The 14,296-nt window shown below is 46.7% G+C and overlaps 1 protein-coding gene across 7 annotated transcripts in view; it reads right to left on the bottom strand.

Moving 5' to 3' along the window:
• ZFHX3 (zinc finger homeobox 3) overlaps positions 1 to 14,296 on the bottom strand; it is a 1,109,046-nt gene that overhangs the window by 194,904 nt on the left and 899,846 nt on the right. The window contains exon 1 of one of the 7 annotated variants that reach the window (XM_047434167.1): positions 1,117 to 2,756. The exons of the other annotated variants lie outside the window; for them this stretch is intronic. The gene's annotated coding sequence lies outside the window, so the exon portion shown is untranslated. Of the gene's footprint in view, positions 1 to 1,116; positions 2,757 to 14,296 lie in introns of those variants that run through there. 7 annotated transcript variants of the gene reach the window in all.

Consider the following 14,296-nt stretch of genomic DNA (forward strand, 5'->3'; position numbering starts at 1 on the left):
GGTGGAGGGGAGAGATGGAATTCAGGGGAAGTGAGAAGAAAAAGGGGAAGAAGAAAAGGACCAGGGATTTTTTTTCTTTTTTCTTTTTTTTTTGAGACAGAGTCTCACTCTTGTTGCCCAGGCTGGAGTGCAGTGGCACGATCTCGGCTCACTGCAACCTCCGCCTCCCAGGTTCAAGCAACTCTCCTGCCTCAGCCTCCTGAGTAGCTGGGACCACAGGCGCACACCACCATGCCCAGCTAATTTTTGTATTTTTAGTAGAAACGGGGTTTCACCATGTTGGCCAGGATGGTCTCAAACTCCTGACCTCAGGTGACCTGCCCGCCTCATCCTCCCAGAGTGCTGGGATTACAGGCGTGAGCCACCGCACCCAGCCTGGGATTTTTTTTCTTTCTAAGGAACTCTTTCCCGAGCATTCACGACCCAGCCCTTTCTGCTCTGGGATGGAAAGTGTTACTCAGCTACAAGGCCTCTTGTTAATTGTGGGTTTTTATTTTTATTTCCTATTACCCTCTCACACGCCTGATGAGATTATTTTACCGGAACTGACACAGCTGGAAGCAGCAGGCATACGTGGAGCCTCTGAGGAGGTGATGCAATTTCATTTTCATTGATCAGAAATCAGCAGGGCAGTAAGTGATGGGAAATTCCATTAGAAGAAAACTTGCAGGCCATAAGCCTCAACTTCCCAGCCACACCCAGGACCCCTTCCCCCACTCCCTGACCGAGGTCTCGCCTTCCTCTGGGCTAAGTCCACACTGCCCAGAGGATTGGAAGTGCTCTCCTCCCAGAAAAATAAAAGACCAGCGCCACGCTGCTGGCCTAGGAGAGCATCGGCCGGGGGTGGGAGACATCGTTGGACTCTGAACCAACAAGGCACCTCGGTGCTTCTCTATGGATTACAGCAAAGTCTTCCAGGGATGCAGAATAAACATCCTTACAACCAATCTCCACAGCCCCTTGGGATCCCCTTCCAAATGTCAACAAACAAGAAAAGGGGAGGCCACTATACAACAGTTGTAAAGATGTCCTCCAGCCAGTCATAGAGATGATCCTGAAGGCACTTACCATTTATTGAGTGCCTACTATGTGCCAGGCACTGTGCTAGGTGCTTACCATGCCCAGACTCTGGTCCTCACCTAACCCTCTAGGACAGATGTTCTTCTCCCTCTCTCTCCTGGATAGATGAAGAGGCAGAGGTCTAGGAAGGTAAAGGAGAGAACCAGTTGGTACCAACACCTTCCTGAGGGTCAGGCCAAACTCTCACAAGCAGCAAAGGAAAGCTGAGTGTCAACAGGAGAGCTCACACCTGAGTCCTAAGAGAGCGTGGAGCACATGTGATGGGCTACTTTACTCTTTTACAGATGTAGCAGATGATAGATTGTGACTAATCCACCTCCATCATCCTCAGCACCCAACAACAGCGCTCCTGTGTCCAAGGCTGGAACCACAGGTGGGCTTCTCTTCGGAATACGCAGAATGGTTACTGTTTTAGCAGTTAAGATCCCTCCAACTGTTTGCCTGCCAAATATTGCTTTGCTTACCTAAGGCCTATGGAAAAAACAGCAAGGAGCTCCTCAAAAAGACAAGTTCTATGAAAAACACCACCAGCCAGGTGGCTCTCCAGACCTCCACAGGCCATTTCGCCATAGGAAAGATGGATCACAGAAGAACCAGGGCACAGTCCGAAATTAACACTGCTCCCCACAACTCTTCACTGTTAAAATGGAAATTTTACATGGACCAGTGATGGCAATGTGTCCAACCAAAATCTCTCAGGAAGCTTTTATTGAGTACCTAATCTGTGCCTCAACAAAGCAAAGAATATATAAGACATGGACCCCGAAATCAATGCGCTTACAGACTAGGTGATGGCCCCATAAGAATACCTAGCACACAGTTATTTATTGATCCTGTTTACAATATACAATACAACATCATAGCATAAATTGAGGCCCGGGCAAAAGAAGAAAGAAAAAACAAAACTGGAGGAAATTTTGAACCAAAAAAATCAAGCTTAAAATGCATGTAAGAATAACCTACACACTGAGTCAAATTTGGCTCTAAGCTTTCTAAAAGTCAAGAGGATAAAGGCATGCTAGGTATGCTTTTAAAGGTACACTATTTACAATGTCCAAGAGAAAAAAAAATCAATTGGTCAGGATTATTTAGCTCCAGTAATTTCTCAACTGCTGAGAATGGGATAAGACTAGGTGCAAGTAGGGCGTGCAGCCCTATTTCCCGGATCTCTTTGTGGAGGTAATAATGAGAAGGCTTGAGTGTGAGGCCAGCTAGTCTCACTGTTTCCACTGATAGACAAGAATACTGACCCCACAGGGTGTTGGTGGTTTGCTGACGTCAGAGAGCCGGTCAGTGGCAGAGCTAGGACGAAGACCTGGGTATCTTCACACCACACTAACAGTGCCTTCCTCCCACATGAAGCTACTCCGCATCATCCTTTTAAATCCACAGGCTGGCTGGATGGGTAGGGGCTCACATGGACGTTGGGGAAGGAGGAGAACTGTTCTAGATTAAAGGGGACCTAAGAACCAAACAACAGCTAGATGCGCTATGTAGTTTCGTATGGATGCCAGTTCTAACCAGCCAAATGTAAAAAGCCATTTTGGGGACAATCAGATAAGTCTGAATTGCAACTTGGGATTAGATCATGTTAATAATGTCAGTTTTGGCCAGGGGCAGTGGCTCAAACCTCAAGTATCAGCACTTTGGGAGGCTGAGACGGGCAGATTGCTTGAGCCCAGGAGTCTGAGACCAGCCCGGGCAACAAGGTGAAACCCCATCACTACCAAAAGTTAAAAAAAAAAAAACAAAAACAGCTGGGTGCAGTGGTGTGCGCCTGTAGTCCCAGCTACTTGATTGCTTGAGACCAGGGAGGTCAAGGCTGCAATGAGCTGTGATCGCACCACTGTACTCTAGCTTGGGCCACAGAGTGAGACCTTGTCTCAAAAAAAGTCAGTTTTGTTAGGGAATAATATTATGTTTACATAAGAAAATGATGAAGCAGCATGATATCGTTGGCTTCAAAATATTTCAGCAACGGACAAAAAAGACGGAACAAATCTAGCCAAAAGTTCATTGTTAAGTCAAGGTGATAGAACTATGGAAGGGTTCATTATATCATTCTTTCTACTTTTATACAGTAATTTTTTTTTTCCTTAAAAGTTACCATTCGCTATCAGGAACATCTTCTAAAAGAACAGCATTGACCAGAACCAAGAGATTCAGTCTTGAGTCAATACGTTCATGGCAAGCCAAGCCTTTTTTCAAAGAAATGTGGGTTTCTCCTTTCTTCCGAAGGGCTTTCCTCCCAGGCCGGGCCCCAGCTATCTCTAAAGCTCCTTTCAAACACCACCATCTACTGACCCCCACTCTTACTCCTTCTCTTAGAAGGTACCAAGCACCACCAGGCTGCTAATGTTTAAAAGAACACAGAAAAAGACAATATGCATCACGCCTGGGCATAGCACCTGACAGCCTTTATAAGTGGTAGCTATCACGATCATTACTGAGCAAAAATGCGCCTGTTTACAAAAGTTAACAGCCTAAGGTTATATAACAGCTTGATTTCAAGCTTTGAGCCAAAGTCTGATTAAGAAGAATATACATCCGTTGAATTAAAAGCCTCCACTTCTTGACTCAACGGGTTAAGAAAATATTTTTAACACTTTCAGTGAGTTTAAAAAATCAGATGTTTACCAGCCATTGTTTTTGCGCACACTGTCTTTTATCTCAGCATGAATGTTTTATAAGCACCTTAATTGCTTTGCAAAGCCTCAACTGAACTGCTCCCAATTGGGCTGGTTCTCTAGTGTGGCTCTGTAGGTAAACGGCCCAGTGGTAAGTGGGCTTCTGGCCATATGTGGGCCCATACCCACCCCCAACATCCAGCACACCCTCCAACTTCAATACGCATCACCATGCTGCAAGCTCCCCAGAAGCACTCTGTGCAATGGACTTCTTCACGGGGACCCCAATATGTGACCAAGGGCACAGTCACACCCAGCACCAGCCTTCCAAAGGGCACATAACAATGCTTCTTCCATGCACACAGCGTTTTACACATTTTCCTTTTTTTTTTTTTTTTTTTTCCTGAGATGGAGTCTCGCTCTGTCATCCAGGCTGGAATGCAGTGGCGCCATCTCGGCTCACTGCAACCTCCACCTCCCGGGTTCAAGCGATTCTCCTGCTTCAGCCTCCTGAGTAGCTGGGATTACACGCACCTACCACCATGCCCGGCTAATTTCTGTATTTTTAGTAGAGACAGGGTTTCACCATGTTGGCCAGGCTGGTCTTGAACTCCTGACCTCAGGTGATCTGCCCGCCTTGGCCTCCCAAAGCGCTGTGATTACAGGAGTGAGCCACAGCGCCCAGCCTTTCTACACATTTTCAAACACTCTCATTTGACCTCTAACAATCTTTTTAAATAGAATGGGAATCATATTTTCGATTTTACAGGTTTAAAAAAATAATTCATTCAAACATCTGAGTGACTCCTACGAGTCATTCTTTCTCAAGGTCCTGCAACTGGTTAGCTGCAGAGCAAGGACCAGGACACAAGCTACAGTTTCTACTGTGGTGCTCTTGGCTCCATGAAGGCATCATTTCCTTAAAGAGAATCACCAACTCACAGAGAAACAAGAAGAATAAAGACAGAAACCTACCTGCTGCATGCCTAAGCTTCCAAATCCTTCCAAAACATGTATCATCTAAATACGAGAAAAAGATAGGATGCCAAAGACCCAAAGGAGGTATTTTCATTGATCACACCTCAGTGGAGTAGAGTTATACACACCACCAAATATTGAGTTGCTCCACACAGACCAGAACAGTGATGGCAAGACATTAAGTCGTAAATTTTTACATAGGCCAGAATGGTGGAGGGCCCGAGAAACAAATCCACTAAAGCACCAAGTGCTGAAGCAAGGATCTTTGGCCCATAAAAAAGTTTAAGATCTGAGGAGTAGCCTGGGTGCAACTCCTCCTCTTAGACCCTAGACTGCAAAGACAACACTGTCATCCAAAGCAGACTGACCACTCGGCTCAAAAGGCTATTTGTAAAAAGATGTAATAAGCTGTCAACGTCCAGGAGCTCCTCATGAAGGAGGCTGAACTCAGAGGAGCTCATGTCAACGCAGAGTTCAGGTTAGGACCAGTGGGGGTAACGTAAAGGGTGATTTGGGCCCCAGGATTACTGTAGCATGACCCAAGCAAAGTGCACATATCTATGTAAAACAGAAAAGAAGGAAACCGGCTTCTTCCCCGTCAGGAATGTCGCTTATTCTATGGGTGTGAGCAGTTTCTTTAGTCCACTTTCTGCCATCACGGTGGAGCCCTTGGAAGCCCCTGTTCCTACCGTGATAGAAAACAATGAGACTTATGAGGCAACTTAATAACCACTGACCACCTTCTTAGTCCAACTGACTAAGCTGAGTGACATTTTTAGGAAGAGCATTAATGCGGAAAACAAACCTTTCCAATTCATGGAATGAGGTAATCTGGGCAGAGGAAGGGTGGGGGCAGAGTGAGTAGATCCAGAACACAAAACAATGACCAGGATCCCCGAACATCCCAGCTGGAATGAGGGCAACCCCAAAGGGGTCGACAGAGAAGGCCTAGGCCAGGTGCGATGGCTCATGTCTGTAATCCTAGCATTTTGGGAGGCCGAGGCGGGAGGATCACTTGAGCCTGGCAGTTCGAGGCCAGCCACAGCAACATAGTAAGACCCCCATCTCTACAAAAATTAAAAAATTAGCTGGGAGTGGTGGCACCCACCTGTAGTCCCAGCTACTCAGGAGGATGAGATAGAAGGATCGCTTGAGCCCAGGAGTTCGAGGCTGCAGTGAGCTATGAACGTGCCCCTGCACTCCAGCCTGGGTGACAGATCAAGATCTTGTCTCAGAAAAAAAAAAAGAGAGAGAGAGAGAAAGGCTGCTTAAGCCATTGCTCCATGCAACTCTCCAACCACATGTCAAACACCATTCCTACCATCTGTCCTTGGAGCCCTTCCCTCACCAGCACAGGTCTAACTACCCACTGCCAAGTGTGGGTACAGGGTAAGGCCCTGCTCAGTAAGCCTGTGGTCTGATACTAAAGTCATATCTTGCCATTACCCCCCGGCCCCACCAGTTATAGTCCAGAACCTTCCATCTTGCTGTTGGCTCTCTATGGCCTGGCTTCCTGACCCTGTTTTGCATGAACCCTTGACCAGCTGGGGCTTAAATCCCATGGGTGGGAATCTCATACACCTGCAGCCTTCTTGCCTATACCTGCTCACGCTCCTTCAAGCACAGGCCTCAGCCCTTATCTGAATAACCTGTCTGCTGGCTTCCTCCCCATCTGATAGTTTCACTCCTGGCTCCTCTCAGGCAGCAAAGAGGAATAAGCAAGCCACAGGCTGCAGCCTGGCAAGACAGTCAGGAAGGTGGCAGCTGCCCTGATTCAACCTTCCTCCTAGTCTATCTACTGCCTCTTCCTCCTCCATTCCCCAGTGACTCCATGAAACTTGTGTTCACAAACTTGAAAAATTCACTGGTGAGGCCAGGTGCAGTGGCTCATGCCTATAATCCCAGTACTCTGGGAGGCTGAGGTGGGAGGATCACTTGAGCCCAGAAGTTTGAGACCAGCCTGGGCAACACAGTGCGACCTCGTCTCTATAAATCCTTAAAAATTAGCCAGACATGGTGGTGCACGCCTGTGAATCCAGCTACTTGGGAGGCTGAGGTGTGAAGATCACTTGAGCTCAAGAGGTTGAGGCTGCAAGGAGCCACGATCACACCACTCCACTCCTGCCTGGGCCAAAGAGCAAGACTCTGACTCAAAAAAAAAAAAAAAAATTCACTGAGGAGATGTGGTAGATGGCTTAGAGGTCAATGTTATAGGTCAATGTCCCTTAGGTTGAACAGCACCTGTGTTGCTGGGTCTGCAATGTTGAGGACCCCGTGATGGTCTTCAATAAGGCTGGGGCGAAGGGGCTAAACCTCACTATCGTGTGCAAGCTCACCCCAGGCCTCAACAGAATTTATACATATAAAATTTATATGCATTACATGTTTACATATGTATGTATACATGTACATGTATATAGTATACATATGGATATATTTATATAAATATGCATATATACCTATACACATATACACATACATCTCTCATATTTAAAACAAAATAGAGCAATTAAAAGAGGAAAAAAACAAAGCCAACACACACGTACCCCTACCACCACCACTACGAACACCAACACGCCCCCACAGGCAAGATCTTGTCCCAAGTTTCTGAGAAACGTCACTTAATACTACGTAATCTCGAAATGATGGGGTCTGCCTACTGGCTTTGTCTGGAGACTGGACTCCAGCTGCTCTCCTAAACTGTCCTTGTCACCTTCTCATCAGGAGAAAAGGGGAACGTAAACATGAACCACACCAGAGATGGGCTATCCAGTGAGGCTGATATCATCTCAGGCGCCACCGACATCTCTCTCCAGCATTCTGTCATCTTATGATCAACTATGTAACTCCAGACATCCAGGGGAACCTGAATCCTAGAACTAGATGTCCCCAAATAAGTGGTTTCTCTGTAAAAGTCAAATGTGGATCACAAAACAAATGTGAGGGGAGTCCCAGGAAAGCCAGTTGCATAAGGGTGTCCTCAATTAAATTCTACACACGTCAATTTTTCCCCAGGGAGGGCGAGGCAGAGCTGAGAACAACATTGGACTGGACAGACTCAAGGCAGGGAAGAAATGGAATTTTCGCTCTTGAGATTCAAATTCCTGAGTCATAGTTGAAATCCCACTGCTATAATTGTTTTAATACACTGTCTCCACACACACAAAAAGACGCCTTTAAAAAGTTGTACTGGCTTCCAGATTCCCTGGTTAAAACCCTCCCTTCTCCTGGACGCTCTCAGATACAAGCTGTGTTGAACTCACTAGCAGCTGTCACATTCTGGCACTTGCTTGGGCTGTGACCAGAGCAGTCTTCCGCCCAACCAGGGAAGGCACAGGCTCTGCCGGCAGAGCAGGGGTTAATGGAAGCTGACCGCAGCACAGTTGTTAAGGTAATCAATACCACTGAGATACTAAAGCAGTGTAAGCCACAATATTGATTGCCAAGCAGATGATAAAACTGTTTATTATGATAATTGCAGGGTCCCTGCAAGATGCTCCCAGCGCTTCCTAAAGCTGTTTACAAAACTAATAAAGATTTGCCATTTCAAGGTCTTCCATTTTTAACCACCCCCCACCCCGCCAACTCCCCACAATCTCCCACTCCCAAAAAGCAGGCCTCACCCCTGGGCGGTTAACATGTTCTTCCCAGGGACAGGCACTCCATGGCCCGTCCTGGGTGGAGCTTCACTCTCAGATTCTCTAAAGAACAGACTGTCCTTCTCCACCCTCACCCTGCCCCCAACTTCAGGAAGGGGAGGACGGAAGCACAGCCGACAGCCACTCAGGGCCTTCAGATTTCCTCCTTAGGACCCGCCATGTGATAATTATGGGGTTTTATCGATGGAGGGGGGCTGCTCAGGGCTCCTTGGGCTGACATCCATTTGTTCTAACACATTTAAGAAACCACACCACCTTGGTTTGTAATTAAAACTTCTCTGGAGAACTTGGTGGCCATGAAGCTAACTGAACATGGTCAAATGCTGATTGTAGAATGCATTTCCGCCAACACTACTCAACTGTGACTTGGGCTGCTGAACTGGGCTTGGGTCCCAAGTTCTATCATGCCCAAGGCACCCATTTAGTTTTTATTAGCAGTGGAAATTAACTCCTTCTTGGTCACAGACACCACCGTTTTCCTCGAGACGCAAGTTATTGAATTATCGGCACCGTCTCCAATGCTGTCACCTCATGTTCAAGAGGAACTGCAATGCAGACATATTTTTCAATATAAGTAGGCATCTCGCAGGTAGTATAATCATGTTCTTCGGACCTCTTAGGGGAAAGCCACTGGGTCCTGCGATTAAGGATGGCAGCCCCAGGACTTCAGGGCTCTGCAAATATACCGAAGGTGTGTTTTCAGAGTGTGAAATGGAAAAAACATAGAACCCAGCCAGGTGCAGTGGCTCATACCTGTAATTCCAGAACTTTTGGAGGCCGAGTCAGACAGACCGCTTGAGCCCAGGAGTTTGAGATCAGCCTGGGTAACACGACGAAAACAAAACCCCACCTCTACGAAAAACACAAAAATTAGCAAGGTGTGGTGGCGAGCACCTGTAGCCCCAGTTACTCGGGAGACTGAGGTGGGAGAATCACCAGAGTCCAGGAGGCTGAGGCTGCAGTGAGTTGTGGGAGCTGTGATCCAGCCACTACACGCCAGCCTGGGCAACAAAGTGAGATCCTGTCTCAACACAAAACAAAGAACTCAAGTTTTAAGGAGAATTCAGTAGTCATTCCATCAGCAGCTAGAAGGCAAGCACCCATCCCTCACTCAACTCTCATAGCAGCTAAGAATATTTTACCTGTAATAGACTTCTACAGCACTAGGCCTTCAAAACAACATTTGCAATTGAAGGGACACCACTTTGAGAGCTGACAGGCCAAAGTAAGATGATGTGGAGGCTGCTTCCACCTCCCACCCTCCCCGATCAAAGCATGGAGAAATCATTCACCAGTGCTCCTGGTCTCCGTTGCCACTGCCACCTCAGTTTAGGTAGAGGGACCTCTACCTGCCCTATTTTCTTCCCATTCAGCTGCAACCAGCAGCTCTGGGAGGTCATTGCCCCCACACTGTGCCTGTGTACACATGTATGCTTCAATGGTGTGGACCAGTACAGACATGCAGCTCCTTTATAGACATCTGGTTCTGCCCCACCTACTCCCAAACACACAGAAATCAGAACACTGGAGCCAGTTTTATGTAGAGTATCATTCGTTTGCCAAAGACCTTGCCATGAACTCATGGATACCACAGCATGGCTGGAAGGGATGCACCAGGGATTCCTTTAACCTGGCTACCTGCTCTTAGAGGAACTATTTGGCAACCAGGAATGGCCGGAGGGAATCTGAGGCTTCCCTAGGACTGCCTTTCATGAATCACCTGCTCCTAGGCAAAGTGGCAAAGGACAGACAAACGCCACCTACTGAACTCCAAGCTGGACGCCCTATTCATTCACATATGCTCACGGGGCCCATGTTAACAAACACCTCCCTGGATTTGATACCAAAAGAAAGTTTAATATTATATGTGGCTAATTCTGCTGTTACCTTTTAACCTCACTTGCACATATCTGTCCTCCCAACAATAACTTCAGCAAAAAACATACCCTAAGAACAATATGGTCCACACTTGGAAACCCGCCCAACAGGGCCAGTCGAGCCTGCATAAGTGCTAAGAACCATTTAGGAGCACTGTAAACCATTAAGGCCATTAGCTCTAATTTGACCTCCACAAAATACATCAACCCACTAGGAACAAATTTAGAAGCTTTCCAAAGTCAAGTTCTCAAAACCTGAAAGGCTCATAAGCACAGTCTAGGGCAGGGAACAGCCAGCCAGTCCCGGAGCTACTCTTCCCGCTCCCACCTTTCCTGCAGCTGACTGAAGGGTGCATGCTTAGCTGGTACACGGACCCAAGATCCTTCTCCAGCCACTGGATCAGGAAGCTGTGGCCATCGAGGGGTCGATATGCAGGCTGGAACCCGCCAAACATTTCTGATTAAGGGATTCACTCCAGCCTTCCTCTGAGCTCACACCATATACAATCTTCCCTCTGCACTGCTCTAAATCACTTCTTTTCAAATAACGCGGATTTCTGGATTCATTTCCAAGTGATCCTGATTGGAATTCAATTGCACTAACTGGGTCCCTGCAACAGGTCAGGGTTCACCCAGTCTTTCAATCTATAAAGGCAGGTATCATGTACATTAAGAGCCATGATTCCCCCACATTAATACATGTGTCAACACAATAAATAATTTCTCCAACAAAACTTATAACCATCAGCATATGCTATAAATTTAAATTGCAAAATCATCATAATTTTTCATCTTTATTCTTCACTGATAATTACTGACTGCATTTTTTAATACTGATGGCATCATCTTGATGAGGAAGCAGGCAATGAAATAAACTACGGTACTGGCTAGGCACAGAGATCACACTTACAATTCCAGCACTTTGGGAGGCCAAAGTGGGAGGATCACAGGAGCCCCTGAGTTTGAGACCAGCCTGGACAACATAGGGAGACCCCATCTCTACAAAAAATACAAATATTAGTAGGAAGTGGTGGTGCACACCTGTGGTCTCAGCTAAGAGAGGCCAAGGCAAGAGGATCACTTAGCCCAGAAGTTTGAGGCTGCGGTGAGCCAAGATCACATCACTGCACTCTTGGCCTGGGCAAGACAGCAAGACGCTGTCTCAAATTAAAAAAAAAAAAAAATTAAAACAGAGCCAGGTGCGGCTGTTCATGACTATAATACCAGCACCTTGGGAGGCCGAAGCGGGTGGATCACCTGAGGTCAGGAGTTTGAGACCAGCCAGGCCAAGGTGAAACCCTGTCTCTACTAAAAATACAAATATTAGCCAGGCGTGGTGCTGCATGACAGTAATCCAAGATACTCAGGAGGCTGAGGCAGGAGAATTGCTTGAACCCAGGAGGTGGAAGTTGCAGTGGGCCAAGATTGTGTCACTGCACTCCAGCCTGGGCGACAGACACTCTGTCTCAAAAAAAAAAAAAAGAAACCATGGCACTATCAAACTCCACCAGCCAATGCGAGAAGCAGGCTAAGAACACGCATACTAGGTAAGTGGACAGTGCACATGGATAAGTCAACAATCCTTCAGTTGCTTCAATGACAAAAACATACCACATACTTATTTCACTCATCTTTCCAGGGCAGAAGGAAGAAATAAGTGGGAAGAATATGGGCCAAATGAGTTAGCAGTAACAGGAGAAGCAAGATGCAGCACACAGAGTTCTACAGCCCAGGAAGAATTGCCAAAAGCTGAGTAATCCATTCCAGCTCCACCCTGCATGAATTTCCAGGTATCAAATTATATGTTAATTATGCGGACGCAGAGTTATATGTGGGGAAGTGGTGTTAGTCAGCACCCAAGGGGTGGAAATTCAGTAAAAATTTAGTTTTGTCAAGTATGTTTCATGCACAGGCCTGGGGCTCCTCTGGCTCAGGAAAAGAGAAAGCAGGAGTCAGGAGGCCCAGACCTTTCCCTAACAGGGTCCCACAGCCAATTCGCTGGCCCTCTCTAGACCAACTTTCCCGAATTATAAAATACCACAAGGTTTGGGTTTTTTTCCCCCCACCGTTTCTGTTCAAATCAAAAAGCGCTAAGTCCTGGCTGATTTCTGACTCAGCCAGTCAAAAGAGGGACACGCCTCCCTAACTGCAGGAGGGTGGGGAAGGGCAGCTGCACTCAGTCCGATGGAGGGGAAACCAGTAAACCCGTCCCTTGGCACTGTCACTTGGCAATTTCTGAGGTTTAAGACGACACGGCGTTCTCCCAGGTCCTGGCCTGTAAATGCCAGGGAAACGCATTGTACTTGTGAAGAGAGAGAACACAGAGTTTCGAAACTGCTCTAAAGCCCATGTCTCAGGCTGCAAGAACGTTATCAGTCTCACACATCGTGCCCCTGCCTCCAAGGCCCCCATCACCACATACTGATCTTGCCCTGATTTGAAGCGGGCGGGAGAGAGCTATGGGGAAGTCCAGGCCTGTCCCAGCCACGGATGGGACAAACAGACAGGAACTGAGTGCTGAAGACCTTGCTGTAGCTGCTGAGCGATCTTAAAAGGGATCCACCCTGGAGGAGCTGAGCACCCTCTTCTTTCCAGTTCTCCTCACTTTAAACGATTTTTGTCTAATAATGTACCCAACAGGCAGATATCAGAGAAGCACTAAACTAACACCTTGAAATGGGTCAATAATGGCTGGGCGCAGTGGCTCATGCCTGTAATCCCAGTACTCTGAGAGTCCGAGGCAGGTGGATCACTCGAGGCCAGGACTTCGAGACCAGCCTGAGCAACATGGCGAAACCCTGCCACTACTAAAATACAAAAATTAGCCGGGTGTGGCGGCACATGCCTGTAATCCCAGCTACTCGAGAGGCTGAGGTACAAGAATCGCTTAAACTCGGGAGGCGGAGGTTGCAGTGAACCAAGATCGCGTCACTGCACTCCAGCCTGGGTGACAGAGTGAGACCCTGTCTCAAAAAATAAAATTAAAAAAAAAAAAAGAGAGAGAAATGGGTTAATGACAAAGAAGTCCTATACACAGCATAGTATGTACTGTATAGCATTAGGATAATATAGTATAGCAGTCCCTTATCCGAGGCTTCATCTTCCATGACCTCAGTTACCCACATTACAGTACAGTAAGATATTCTGAGAGAGAGGAGAGACCATATTCCCATAACTGTCATTACAGGATATTGTTTTAATTGTTCTATTTTATTATTAGTTATCACTGTTAATCTCTTACTGTGCCTAATTTATAAATTAAATTTTATCATAGGCATGTAGGTAGAGAAAAAAACATAGTCTACCTAGGGTTTGATACTATCCTCCCTCTCAGACATTCCACTAAGTGTCTTGGAATGTCTCCCCAAGGATAAAGAGGGACTGCTGTCGTGGCTAGGAGTATATGCTCTGAGCTGGCATCCCAGCGCAGAGGCCATTTAACAGCAGCAAATTTGCTACAGACTTTGGGCCTCAAGTTCATCACTCATATGATGGGTGTAGGATCATCTTTACCCCATAGGGTTGTAAGGATTAATGAGACAGTGAAGTATTTAGCACAGTAGATGCTTAATAGGGGTTAGCTATTAATGCTTATATTAATATTTATTAACATTTATACAGACAAAGAACATGTTCTCATGTCATTTGCATAGCAATCCAACAAAGGCCGTATTCTCACTTTTGAGGCTCAGAGAAGCAGAGAGACTTGTCCATGGTCACACACAAGTACTCAGACTTCCAGGCCAGTGTCTTTTCCATCATCTTTTTTCAGGGTGTTTCACCCACGCAACACTGGCCAGGGGCTAGATGGTTCCAGGTGGGAGTGGGTGAACTTTGTACATTCTGGTCATTAGCCAGTCAATGTTTATCTGAGCCAATCCAACCAGCACGAGCCTGTGATTCCTCAGACACAATTGCTCGGGATGATGCTAAGGTGGGTATTTGTGGTTATAACGGAGGATCCCGTGAAAAGAAAAATGTAAAGCAAATAATACAGTATAGGCAGTACAAAGAAACAACAGAAATGATGCCCTGAGTTGGGGGCAGAGGGGTCTCTTCCACTCTCAGAGGCTGT

This window comes from Homo sapiens, chromosome 16 (genome assembly GCF_000001405.40).
Source record: "Homo sapiens chromosome 16, GRCh38.p14 Primary Assembly".
Classification (NCBI taxonomy): Eukaryota; Metazoa; Chordata; class Mammalia; order Primates; family Hominidae; genus Homo; species Homo sapiens.